Source organism: Homo sapiens, chromosome 3 (assembly GCF_000001405.40).
Source record: "Homo sapiens chromosome 3, GRCh38.p14 Primary Assembly".
NCBI classification, from domain to species: domain Eukaryota; kingdom Metazoa; phylum Chordata; class Mammalia; order Primates; family Hominidae; genus Homo; species Homo sapiens.
Window position 1 is genome coordinate 24,393,003 of NC_000003.12, and position 14,206 is coordinate 24,407,208.

At 36.0% G+C, this 14,206-nt stretch overlaps 1 protein-coding gene across 53 annotated transcripts in view, besides 1 other annotated feature; it reads right to left on the reverse strand.

Annotated features, from left to right (window-relative positions):
• THRB (thyroid hormone receptor beta) overlaps nt 1–14,206 on the reverse strand; it is a 378,556-nt gene that overhangs the window by 275,850 nt on the left and 88,500 nt on the right. For 7 of the 53 annotated variants that reach the window (XM_047448811.1, XM_047448791.1, XM_047448806.1 and 4 more), the window contains exon 2: nt 1–70. The exons of 45 other annotated variants lie outside the window; for them this stretch is intronic. The gene's annotated coding sequence lies outside the window, so the exon portion shown is untranslated. One more of the 53 variants, XM_024453737.2, reaches the window with a different exon arrangement.
• Nucleotides 3,207–3,772: an enhancer, noted in NCBI's record as "OCT4-NANOG hESC enhancer chr3:24437700-24438265 (GRCh37/hg19 assembly coordinates)". NCBI's record gives its function as "activates a minimal SCP1, AML or CMV promoter by ChIP-STARR-seq in naive H9 embryonic stem cells {active_cell/tissue: H9 hESC(naive)}" and the evidence as "EXISTENCE:reporter gene assay evidence [ECO:0000049][PMID:30033119]".

The window sequence follows — 14,206 nt, forward strand, 5'->3', positions numbered from 1 at the left end:
TTGTTTGTAGTTTTCAAATGTGTTGTTCCCAATTTTTGACACATCATCAAGCAGACTTCTGAGTTTTTTTCTGTGGAAAACAACTGGACTTAGTTCCATACAAATACAAATAACACAGATGTCACTAATTGAATCTATACATTGTCCTTGGAAGGAAGTCCTTCCCTGCCTTGCTTGTTATTTTACATCATAATCTGCAGAACATTTCAGGGAGGCCCATGAAAGAGAAGATCAGTTATTTTTATATCATGGCAATGGAAGTCCTTAAGACGACTGAATACCCACTATCACTCAAAGAACCATGCCAGATCCCATCACTCCTTGCAGTAACTTCTGCTGAACAGAGTTTTACACACTCGTCTTGCTCAAAGCCTTTTTCCAGTCACATAAATACTCCTGCTGAACAATTAACCTTTCACAGAAAAGTAGCTGAGGGGAGTTTGGGCTTAGGTTCAGCTTCTTGGCCCATAAATATCTGCATAAACAAGTTCTAGGGGCACCTGGGAGAGGTCAGGGCACAGACCAAGGTCACAATACATTCCATTGCTTAACCTAACCAAATGACATAGACCAAGAAAGCGTTTCCAAAAACAGGCAGCTACATTTCATCCTTGCATATTCACAGTAAAGAAAATAAATACCTGCTGTTTTAAACAGCTGGGTACTTCACTGAAATGCTGACGTATCAGCAAAGTCATGGACAGTAGCAATGTTTTACTTAAGGTGGCAGGAAGACCCCAAAAGGTGAGGTCCTATCCTCTGCCAAAGAATGAAGACTTTACAACCACTTAAGGAACAGAATAATGTAGGAGATGGATCTGATGTGTCCAGTGGTAAATCCAATGTCCATTTTTGCTAATGGCCTTTTAAAATCTTTGAATTCAAGACTGAAAAAATGAGGTTTGAAACTGGGGGTCCACCATATCTCCTTTGGTATTGAAAGGGAGGGAGGAATAAAATATATTGAGCTCCCAACTTGGTCCAGGAATTTTACATTTGTTTTTCTCAGTTAATCCCACAATGATCTTCAATAGATATTTTTATTTCTATATCATAGAAAGGGAAGATAAGGCTCAAAGAAGTTAAACAATTCACTGAAAATAATCGAGGTTGTGTGGTGGGGCCAGGATTTGAACTCAGATCTATAAAATTCTGTGCCTATTTTCCTTGCTTGTTTCTTGAGGTAAAAGAGTATTTGCCCAGAGCCTTTATGGGATGTGAGAGAAGTTTCAACATAGTCTCTTAGAGTATATATTAATGTGCCCCTCTTAAGCCAGGAGTGCAGAAGGACATTAGAGAAGTACAGAGGCCATTTGTGAAAGACAAATCTACCTGAGTGAGAGCCAGTACTTTTAGAGCTAAAGAGAGGAAAGAACTTGACTTATTCCTTGACTTGGGCTCTCCATCTGGTGGCCTGGCTGATGAGGGTTTCCCTACTTCCTGGGGAACTGTTTCTAATCCTACCTGCCACCTCCCTACAGCAGCACAGAACATTGGGTATGGATCATACATCTCTACTTTGGACTTTTTGGAGGGATGCTTCGTCTGCTTTTAAGCAGTTTCAGAGAAGAAAATGTCATAACCTTCCTAGAAGTAACTTCTGACTCAAAAATTTCAGGAAGGGTCTTTCCTCACTCAAACAGGCAGGAGCAGAAAGCAATGAAACATCATCAAATAGCACCACAGCATTCAGCAAGGCACTTCCTGACTCACAGGTCACACACTGTAGTTTAAATGTATTTGTGTGGATTCGTGCAATAAAGGAAGAACAATTCCTTTGAAAACCTTTAATGCCTGATATCACGCTTCACTTAATTCCTAAGTGTCCCCCTGCAAGCAGAGAAACCTCAGCTTACTAAATAGAGACTATGTAAATGTGTTTGTTGGTAGCTCCAAGTGTGTGTTTAGACTTTATACCAGTGTATAGACACTCTGGCAGAGAGCAGAAGGAAGCTGGAACTCTCTGGAAATTTATTATTGGCATAGATGCCTCATGAGCCATGCCCCATGAAGTTTGTCACATTGATGAGGAGGCTATTTTAAAAACTCACTCTAGAATATCCACATGCAGAAGAATGAAGCTGGAACCCTTCCTCATGTCATATGGAAAAATTAACTCAAAATGGATTATAAACCTAAATGTAAGGGCTAAAACTATAAAACTCCTAGAAGAAAATACAGGAGAAAAATTTCATGACCTTGGGTTATGCAAAGCTTTTTTTAGATATGACACCAGAAGCACAAGCAACAAAGAAAATATAAAATTTGACTTCTTCAAAATTAAAACTTTTGTGCTTCAGTGAAGGCCTTCAAGAAAGTGAAAAGACAACCCACAGAAGAGAAGAATATATTTGAAAATCATATATCTTATAAGAAATCTGTATCTAAAATACGTAAAGGACTATTATAACTCAATAATGATAAAACGAATAATCCAATTGGAAAATAGGCAAAGGATCTAAATTAGAAGTTTCTCCAAAGATGATAAACAAGTGGGCAAAAAGCACATAAAAAGACGTTCAACTTGATTTGCAGTACACGCAAATCAAAACTACAGCGATATACCATTTCACACCCACTAGAATGGCTATCATCAAAACAAGATAAAAACAAGTGTTGGCAAGGATGTAGAGAAATTGGAACCCTTATATGCTGGTGAAGGGAATGCAAATGGCGCAACCACTTTGGAAAACAGTCTGGCAGTTTCTCCAATAGTTAAACATAAAGCTACCATATGATCCAGCAATTATACTCCTAGATATATATCCAAGATAAATGAAAATGTATGCCCACAAAAAAACTTGTACATGAATGTTTATAGCAGTATTATTCATAATAGCCAAAAAGTTAGAGCAACTCAAATATCCACCAACTGGTGAATGGGTAAACAAAATGTAGAATTATATGGTTCCGTTTATATGGAATATCCAGAATGGGCAACTGTATACAGACAGAAAGTAGATAAGTAGTTGCCTAGAGGTAGAGTGGGAGAAATGGGGACTGACTGCTAGTGGATTTCTTTTTGAGGTGATGAAAATGTAAAATTGATTGTGGTGATGGTGACACAATTCTGTGAATACACTAAAAACCATTGAATGTACACTTTTAATGAGTGAATAGTATGGTATGTGAATTGTATCTCCACAAGGCATATATATATATATAGGCATATATATATTTTTTCTATATATACACACACCCACATACCTCACTATAGACCTTAGTTCTCAGCTACGGCTGCCCCTTAAAATCATCTGGGGCATTTCTCAAATCCCAATGCCTGGGCCATACCCTAGACCAGTTATATCAGAATCTCTGTGGGTAGAACCCAGACATTTTTTCTTTGTGCAGGTGATTACAACGTTTGGCCAACGGTGAAAACACTGAGTTCCTTTCAAGGGGTAAAATGCCACAGTATTCACTTCACTCTGTGGGTGTTTCTGCCTAGTGTTTCAATAGATGACATCTTTGAAGTGAGGTGTTGCCTCCAACTCTTGCCAGTTTTCACTGTGATGCTAATTGTCACCTGCAGGGCCACTCTATAGTAGAGACCAACACTTGTGAGAAGACACTGCACCTCCTTTCCTGGAAAGAAACTATGCACCACTGGGTGAGCGCTCTAAACTAGGGCCTCCGATTTCCTCTGTTTTCACAAGTAACCTGTGTGTTTAGGCTTCCATGGCTCTTTCTTTGAAATCTTTGTAAAGCAGTGTTCAAAAAGGTGTTTTGAAATAAAATGCACAGAACCAAAGCATTTATCTAATTACTTGAGGAGTTTCACTTTGGTTCTTTTCGTTTAAAATCCCAAAGTTTCACAACTATAAATTTAATGCTGGGAAAATGCAATGCATTGGATACAACGAAAGTGGAAGCTGTGTCTAGTGCTTTCCTGGCTATCAATACCAGATATAAAAATGTTGAATGACCAACTGCATTCTTTTAAAAAATTTACCAGTTCTTTTTTTGCTATTCTTAAGCACAATTGGAAATTCAAATACCAGTTTATGTGACTTAAGAAATGAAAACAGTATGCTCCCCAGTCTAAAAGTCAGGACCCAGGGAAACAATTAGAACTCAGCATAGATATTATCATTTAAATTCAGTTTAGTGACATAAAAAGACAAAATATTTTAAAACATTCAGATGTTGTTAATATAATAAAAAGTCAGCTCTGATGAATTTTTAAACAAGTGGAATAAAACATTATGAACTGAGGGCAAAAAGAGCATCTTGGAAGATTACAAACACTGGGTTTGCAAGAGAAAAATTTTGAAGATTAGTTTGAAATAGACACCCCAGAGGGGCCCATCAAAACAAATTATTGCCATTGATGTGATATGTAACTTGGCCATATAGTTGCTTAGAGATTTGCTCCAAGTTTCTGAAACCAGACTCATAACATAAAACTCCATCATCCATCAGCACATACCTAAAAAACGTTTTTTCCGTCTTTTGCTCTTTCATCCTTTAGCACACAATATTGTGTAAGCCAAGAAGCCATATGTTCCTTGCAGTCACAGAGTAATTTTTATTAGCATTAACATAGACAATCAAGCTGGCCCCTGCATGAATGCACATCTTAGCACCTTTAGCAAGTCTTTTTTTTTTTTTTTTCTGAGATAGAGTGTCACACTGTCGCCCAGGCTGGAGTGCAGTGGTGCTATCTGCCTCCTGGGTTCAAGCGATTCTCCTGCCTCAGCCTCCCAAGTAGTTGAGATTACAGGCACCTGCCACCACACCTGGCTAATTTTTTTGTATTTTTAGTAGAGACGGGGTTTCACTATGTTGGTCAGGCTGGTTTCAAACTCCTGACCTTGTGATCCACCCACCTCGGCCTTCTCAAAGAGGGAAGTGGAGCTCATCTGGTCAGAACAAACCAGCTGCTGAGGGAAACAGCCCACATAACACATAGAGAGAAATCCCTCTACTGGTGGCGTCAGACCGAAGAATTCTCTCTAGTTGTCAAGCTATTGTAATTGTAGCCTCTGCAAGAAAGTAAAAATATACAACAAAACAATAATTCAAAGCCAAAAGTATCTTCTATCTTATACTATAACTGCTTATGTATCAATGGACATAATGATGTTGAATAGACAGACTGAAAATACTTGGTAAATACCAGTAATTAACTCTCATTTTTTAAAAAAATGGATTGAGGTGGGGCAAAGAAGCATAGAAGAGGGAAAATGTGGGCAATCAGAAACCTAGGTCATTGAAAATGACCCCAAAAGATCTAATTAAACTAAAGAACTGCTGCACAGCAAAAGAAAGTACCATCAGAGTGAACAGGCAACCTACAGAATGGGAGAAAACTTTTGCAATCTACTCATCTGACAAAGGGCTAATATCCAGAATCTACAAAGAACTCAAACAAATTTACAAGAAAAAAACAACCCCATCAACAAGTGGGCGAAGGATATGAACAGACACTTTTCAAAGGAAGACACTTATGCAGCCAACAGACACATGAAAAAATGCTCATCATCACTGGCCATCAAAGAAATGCAAATCAAAACCACAATGAGATACCATCTCACACCAGTTAGAATGGCGATCATTAAAAAGTCAGGAAACAACAGGTGCTGGAGAGGATGTGGAGAAAAAGGAAGACTTTTACACTGTTGGTGGGACTGTAAACTAGTTCAACCATTGTGGAAGTCAGTGTGGCGATTCCTCAGGGATCTAGAACTAGAAATACCATTTGACCCAGCCATCCCATTACTGGGTATATACCCAAAGGATTATAAATCATGCTGCTGTAAAGACACATGCACACGTAAGTTTATTGCGGCACTATTCACAATAGCAAAGACTTGGAACCAACCCAAATGTCCAACAATGATAGACTGGATTAAGAAAATGTGGCACATATACACCATGGAATACTATGCAGCCATAAAAAATGATGAGTTCATGTCCTTTGTAGGGAGATGGATGAAGCTGGATACCATCATTCTCAGCAAACTATCGCAAGGACAAAAAACCAAACACCGTATGTTCTCACTCATAGGTGGGAATTGAACAATGAGAACACTTGGACACAGGAAGGGGAACATCACACACCGGGGCCTGTTGTGGGGTGGGGGGAGTGGGGAGGGATAGCATTAGGAGATATACCTCATGTAAATGATGAGTTAATGGGTGCAGCACACCAACATGGCACATGTATACATATATAACAAACCTGCACGTTGTGCACATGTACCCTAGAACATAAAGTATAATTAAAAAAAAAAAAAGAAAATGACCCCAAAAGTCCACATATATAATTGTGTCAAAATTATGCCTCCCTCAGTCTACCTGAAGGGCATAATGGTGACAAAAGTGACCAATTTGAGGTTATAATTCCTTTTTTCTTTTCAACCAACAGATGAACTGGGAAAAAATGTATTACCAAAAGGCAGCACTAGCTATATGATTTATCTGGCCCAGAGCAAAATGAAAATTCAGGGCCCTGTTTAGGAATAATGAGAATTGTAAGATGGTGACAGCACTGCATTAAACCAAGTACAGAGCCCCTCTGAGCTTGAGGCCCTGTGTGACTGTGCAGGTTGCAGTCCTTGAAGCTGGCCCTGTCAAAAGGTAACAAATAAGGAAGGCACGGGTCTGTGTAACCCTCATACGATCTTCTAGCTAGTTTAGCTTCTCTTGGAAAAATTTACATATTTACAGACTCTTCTGGCTGAAAAACAGCTTAAGAATGACCTATGTCACTTTCTCATTTATAGAAACAAACACCCAGAGAAATTAAATGACTTGTCTAAGGTCACGCATTGAATACAGAGCCAGAACCATATCCCAGGTGTGCTGACTCTACACTGACATTCTTTTCCTTATACCACATTCTTGGTCTCCAGTTGAATGTAAATAATCAGAAAATATTAACTACCAAAAAAGGAGGGGAAGAAGGTAGGGGAGGACGTTACCTCACCAGAACTTTTTTCTCTCAACTCTTCTGCTCAAAGAATAAAATGCAGTTATAAAAACTGTTTTCAAATTCCTTTTCTGAGTCAACACTTCCAAGTCCTGGGGTGAAGACACCAAATGACGGCTTCAAACACTGAAGCAAATTCTCTTTGCTGAGAGTTTGCTTGAGCCCTAGGAGTTAATGACCATAGGCCAAGGTGGTTATTAGTGGATAGGCAACACGTTAGTAAACTAATCAGTGTTCCTGTACAAATATTTAAAATAATTCCAAGATAATTTGAACTTCAATACTGAGCTAGCCAAACACATTTGTAATCTGAACCCAAGGTTCTAATGAGTTACTGCCTTTTGGATGTCCTTCAATGTGAGGGACATTTTTAGAAAGATTACCACTTTAGTGGAAACAAAGCCTGATATTTTAAATGTAAACATGAGACCTAGATTTTTTTTATGCAAAACAAAATGCATCTCCTTTCCCAACTCAGGTATGTGTACAAATTTAGTACATCAAAATATCTGTTGCAAGGACACAGTCATTGAATGATACCACACAAATTAAACATAAATGAAACAGCAAAAGCTTATGAAAAACACTCAAAAAGAGTTCAAGGTAGACTGGCAATAGCATGATGCAATGAAAAAAACACCTTGCAGGAAGGCAAAAGACAGGCGTCCAACTCCTTCAAACGAGGCACAGTGCTACTAGCTGTAGGGCCAGACAGATCTCCAGGTTGAATCGTAGGTCTATATATATTTCATTGTTGTAAGCCATGGCTAATTCACCAGCAAAATGGGGTTGATCCTAAAGCTAAATGGCTAGATCAGATGCTTACTAAATGTCTCTGTAAACTCTGAAATCCGTGATTCATATACCTTTAATTTTACCTTATTGAGTTGCCCCTCAGAACTTTCACTGGGGGACTAAAATTAGCTTTGCAAGTCCAACACTTTCCACAACTTCATGCTCTGTAAGTAGTAATAAGAAAAAACAAAATATTATCTGGCTTGGATAGATTTTTGGCATAATTACAGGTCTGGTGTTTGGAAAATGAGGGCCAGATGAAAATGGTGCAGAGACATGAATAACCCAAAGTGTCTGAGACTACAGTACTTACATCTCATTAACCACCAATTATCACATTCATAATTTAACACAAAGAGGAAAACACAAACGAGCTTTTAAAAAAAAAGTCCATCCCTTTTATATAGACTTCAGTTTACACCTGGCCTCTAAAGGCACGATTAATGCACTAGGTTGAGAAAGGGAGTAGTTAGATTAAGCAATAAAAACACTTTTGATAACATGTGAGGCTATAAAAATGGCTGGGCTAAAGCTATTAGCCAAAGATAAATAATACCCTGCAGGAGGAAAAGAAACAGCTTTTTCTGGATCATAAGGTCTGGCATGTTTTTAAAGACCTTGCTTTCACTGAAAATGTAATATATCCATTTAAAGAGACTTTTTTTGCATTCAAAAGATTATCTCATGTTCAAGAGCTTTGTCAAAACATGGGAGGAAAAATACTCCCTAGTTATTTATTTTATTTCGTTATTGATTTTACTATTATCACTAGGTCTTTTATTATTATTGCTTTCTAAGGATTACCACTACTACTAGCAATGCTGTTACTGCTACTGCTTCCACGTCTATCAATAACTCTGCCTAGCCTCCTAATGAGGATATAGTTTTAAGTTTAGTGTTCTTACTGCATTTCTAAATTGCAGTGAATAACATTTTATGACTCAACCCCCTTGTGTCCCAGGCTGGCTCTCCACAGTGAGTCTGATTTGCGCTACTTCAGTGTGGTCCCTGGACCAGCAGTTTCCCTAACACTTGGGAGTTTATTTTAGATGCAGATTTCTGGCTCCTTGTCAGACCTACAGAATAAGACGCTCTAGGGTAGGGGGATAAATATGTGTTTAAAAAAGCTCACCCAAAGATTCTGATGCACAAATTTGAGAAGCTCTGCTCAATAGAGGAAGTGGCCCAGGTGTTAGAGAAGAAAGAGGGCTGGGAGAGAACTGAGGATGAACACCTGAGCTACCACCTGCAGGCTTTACCTTGTCTGCTACAGGGCAGGCTGCCAAAGCCAAGGAAAAGAAAGCAAAGTCTGAGGCAGATTAAGCCAAGGAGAAGAAAGTAAAGTCTGGGACAGGTTTTTAGAAAACAGAGCTCTGCCCCCAACCCCACCATCAGGATGTTACAGAGGCTCCTGCCCTCAGCTTTGGCCGACACAAGGAGAGGCACCAGTAGAACTTTTCCCCAGCCACTGTTTGATTCTTTTGCCTGCAGAATATTGAAAATTACAAGACTCCTTATGGTTCATCAATGTAGGCATATCAGATCAAATTAGTTTCTAAATTAGTATTTCTTAATATGTGAGGTTTATGCATTTCAGGGTGTCATTGATCCCCAATCTGACCAAATCAACACCTTGAGGGGTTGCCACAAGCTCTCTAATGCATCTGTGCACTGTCAAATTTGGGAACTGCTGTTCTACTTTTTTGGTCTGATTTGACACTTAATTTGGGATGAGGTTTCAAAATATTCACCAACCCTTCTTTCTTCCTTTTTTTTTTTTTTTTGGTAACAACATATTTCCTCAATAACAAAAGTAGAAAATAAAAAACACAAAGAAGAAAATTAAAATTTCCTATCACTCATTTTGATAAAATATAAAATGTATCAATTAAACACAATTAGGATATACAATGACTACATTATCATCAACTAAAAGATACTACCATTTATTTAACTAATTACCTATCATTAAACATCTAGAAGCTGTTATCCAGGTTCTCAGTTTTATAAATAATGATGGCCAAATGACCATTATGGTCAACTCTTATAATTTTTGACCCAGAAATGTCAACTCCGCCTTTTTATGAAGTATTTGATACGCACTGCCAAATTATCTCCAGAAAGACAGTACCAGGTTAGAACCACACCATGCTGTAAATTGATAAAGCCATGTTGGAGACAACTTGACAATATAGATAGAACAATTGATCACCTAGAGTGACCTTATTTAAAGAAATATTTAAAATAGTAAAAATTTGGAAACAATCTAAATATTCGTTAATCCAGGAATTCATATATTTGTCACACAGCAATAAATTCATACATTTGTCACACAGCAAGAAAAATATATGAGCTAGATCTATACATAACAACATAGATCTCTGAAAAACAGAATGTCATAACATTGAGTGAAAAAATCTTGGTAAAAGCATACATACAGAATGGAATCATTTATGTAAAATTTTTTCAAAACAAAATAAAAATATACTGTTGTGGATCTTTACATACATAGGGGAAGTACAAAATCATGTACAGAAAGAATACTCTTACTTCAACATAACGGTTAATCTCTGCAAAAGGAGACTAGGGAAGAGATGTAGGAGTTTTAGCTGGATCCATAATATTAATTTTATTAACAAACAATTTTGGAGCAAATAAGATAAAACGTTAACATTTCTCAAATCTAGGACACAGTTCTCAATGTATCCGAGAAATTCTGGGGGACTCCAAGCCTCTTGTAGGATATCTGTGAGGCCAAAATTATTTTCATAATACTACTAAGGCATTACTTTTTCACTGTGTTGACATTTGCACTGTTGGTAAAAGCAGTAAGGAGTAAATCTGTGGCACGAATCAAGGTAGCGGCAGCACCTGAACACGTAGTCATTATATGTCTCGCACCATACAATTGCAGAAAAACAAAATAAGCCAGTTCCACTTAAAAATGTCCTTGATTAAACAGTAAAAATTATTTTAATTAAATCTCAACCATTAAGCACAAAATTTTCCAAGTGACGAAAGGGCAAGTATACATATGGCACTGCTGTTGCAGATAGAAGTTTGAGGGTTGTCTTGAGGAAAAGCACTTGTGTGACTGATTAACTGTAAGCTGAACTACCTGCTTTCTTCATATAACATAATTTAGTTTTTCTTGAAAGAGTCACTGAGAAACAAACTTTGATTTTCAGACTTGGGTGTTTCACTTTTTCTCAAAAGTGAATAAAGAGTCTGTCACTTCAACAAAAACAACTGAAAGTATTTGTCGCCAATGATAAAATTCAAGCTTTCAAATGAAAATTAGAATTTTGGAAAATTCATATATACCATCGTGGGCTTGATAGATTCCCATAGTTAAAGACTTTACTCAGATCTGTGGAGATGTAATAAATAGAATCCTGAATATTGTACTATATAATGAAATGTGTCTACATCTGGAAGATCTGCATAACTCAGTGAACCAATATTTTTAAATCAATGCATGGTATTACAAAATCATGCATGAGTAAAAGATCCATTGAAAGTGCAAGATAAACAAATGGATTTTAATGTAACAGGGTACAAAAAGTTCAGTGATAGGGTTTCAAACTCCATATTGCAACTGTCCTTGAAGAATCTACAACTTGTTGAGTTTTGGTGTAGTATCAAAGCAGAATTTTCACACTTATCATAAAAGGCTAATAAAATACTCTTCCTTTTTACAATGCCATAACTGTTTGCGGATTAATTTTCTTCACATACTTCAACAAAAAAGCATACCACAATAGAATGAAAGCAAAATGAGAATAGATATGAGAATTCAGTTGACTTCTATTAGGCCAGACATGCAAAATTGTAAACAATGCTGCTCTTCTCAATCATTTTTTGTTTTTGTTATTTTTCCTTTGCAAAAATTTAACTATTGTCATGAAAAATGTTATTTATGGCAACATATAAAGAATTTATTATTACTACTTTAAATGAATTAACAAATATTTTAAATGTTTCTCTTGTAATTTCTAATGTGGTAAAGAAACATTAGAAACATTAATAAACACAATTTCTTTGGAGTTCTCAACAATTTTTAAGAATAAGATCAAATAATTTGAGGACTGCCAATCCAGGGCTAGACAGATCTCCTTATATTATTTTCTAATTAATTAATTTCTTATTTATGTATATAACTAAAATAAAAGTAAAAAAGCCTACCAGCAGCATATGAGGCTATGCATTAGTCTATAACCTTACCAAACCTAAGAATGATCATTAAAGAAAAAACAAGCAGACCTTGTGAATCCAAGAGTAACCAAATGTTTTATCATGATTTTAATTTGCCTCTTTCACTGTGTGAGTTTGAACAATTTTATATGTTTACTGGTGACTTTAGTTTCTGTTTTCGTGGGTTGTTTTCTTTTATTTATTCACTTGTTCATTCAGCATATATTTGTTGAGCATCCTGTTTCTCAACAAGCCTCATGTTGAGCATGCTTGCTTTTAAGTGTATCTGGAATATAGGCAGCAAACATGTCACAGGTCTATTGCAGGCGTTGGCACGCTATATTCTGTGGGCCAAATTTGGACCACTTCCTATTTTCACAAATAAAGTTTTACTGTAACACAGTCATGACTGTTTGTTTACAGACTGTCTATGGCCGCTTTTGAATTACAAGGACAGAGTTTAGTAGTAGCAAAATAGACTGTGGCACCTGCAAAATCAAAAGTATTAACTATTTGCCCTTTACAGAAAAAGTTTGTGGGCCTTTGGTCTATTGGATTCATAGGAATCCAGTGTCTTTACTACATATTTGTAATACTACTTTATATATTTAAAAATTATGTCTTGTAGATGTTTTCCCATTGCATTTGTAGCCATTTAATTTTGTTTACAGTTTTTTTCATTGTATACAGCTTTGTATATTATGTAGCAACTTGATCAAGTCTTTTCTTTTGATATAATTATTCTTAACCTTTTTGGAACATTGATTACTTTAATAATTCATTGACTATTTTGCTTTTTTTTCTTCCACATGAATTTTTAAAGTATTTTGTCACATTACTGAACGAATCGCCCAGTAATTTTTATTTCAGTTGCATTAAATTGTTGGATTACTTTGGGGAGATTTATATTTCTAAAATATTGATTCTTTCTGTCAATTAGTATAGAATATTTTCTTATTAAATGTCATCTTCCAAATTATTTTATATATATTTTAAAGTGGTCTTATAAATTTCTTTTTATATTTAGTCCTAGTTATTTTCTATTTTAGAGTTGCTAATGTGATATGTGTTTTTTGTTTATTTTCTAATTGATTATGACTAACAAGTACACTTTGATTTTTAAGTAGATACTATATTAAATGCTTGACAGTTTTAATAGCTTTTTTCAGTTGATTCTTTTAAATTTTCAGTACAGACAAATGGAGATTTGTTTCACTTCCCTAATCACATGACCTTTTTTCCTTGTCATTATATTTGCTAGACTTTTGAGAAAAATTATCATTAATTTATATTCCTTCTTATTTCTCATTTTGAAATATATAGAGAATTTTATAATTAAGTGGATATTTAATCTTTTAAAAAAGAATCTTTTAAAACTAATTAACCTTCTATGTTTGTTACATTAAGAGTTTTTATCAGCAATTATATTAAATCAAGTACTTTGGTCACCTATAAAAATGATAGAAATTTTCTCATTTAACCTATTGATAGCATCTATTGTAACAGCAGATTTCTCTAGTAGTAAAAATTTCTTGCATTTTTAAGAATCCGCTCTTGTGGTCATGGTTTGTTATTGTTTATAATGTCTGCAAGACTAAATTTGCCAGAATTTTACTTGGAATTTTTTTAACTTGTGAGTTTGATTTATAAGGGTTTGGTATCATCTTTGTTAGGTTTGCTTGTACTCTTAAAAAAAAAAAGAAATTGAGATAGTCACATGTTTTTCTATCCCTAGAATAGTTTAGAGCTGTTAAGATGATATACTTAGGCAAATTATAAATAACAAAGTGAGATACATAAAATAAGATTAAAAATGAGATTTGGTATAAATGTACTCCACTAAATAATAGAGAGAGACATCACAATCATGCAGTTGAAAACAGCAACAAAACAATTGGAATCAGATTTAGATTTTAATTTCTTGGTAAGTGGGGCAACAGTGAAGTGCCATCCAACCATCTACATAACAGGTGAATATGTAAAAGAATAAGGTTCTCCTGCAATTGAGCTAATTAAGTTAACACTTCTAGGTCTATGGGAATAGCCACTGGACCAAGACCAATTATGGAGCTTAATCCATGATATTAGCACATCCAAAGAAAGAAAAGGTCAACTTCTGGGGCATGGCCACTTTAGATAAACTGAACTGAGAAAACAAACTTTGGCAGTGGGTATTGGGCACTGTCCACAAGAAGAAAACACAGAGCTCAAGAGCTAGAAGCATCCAGTTATGAAAAACGTGTCCTCTAGCGATGGCATAGGCATTTCTCCAGGCCCCACCAT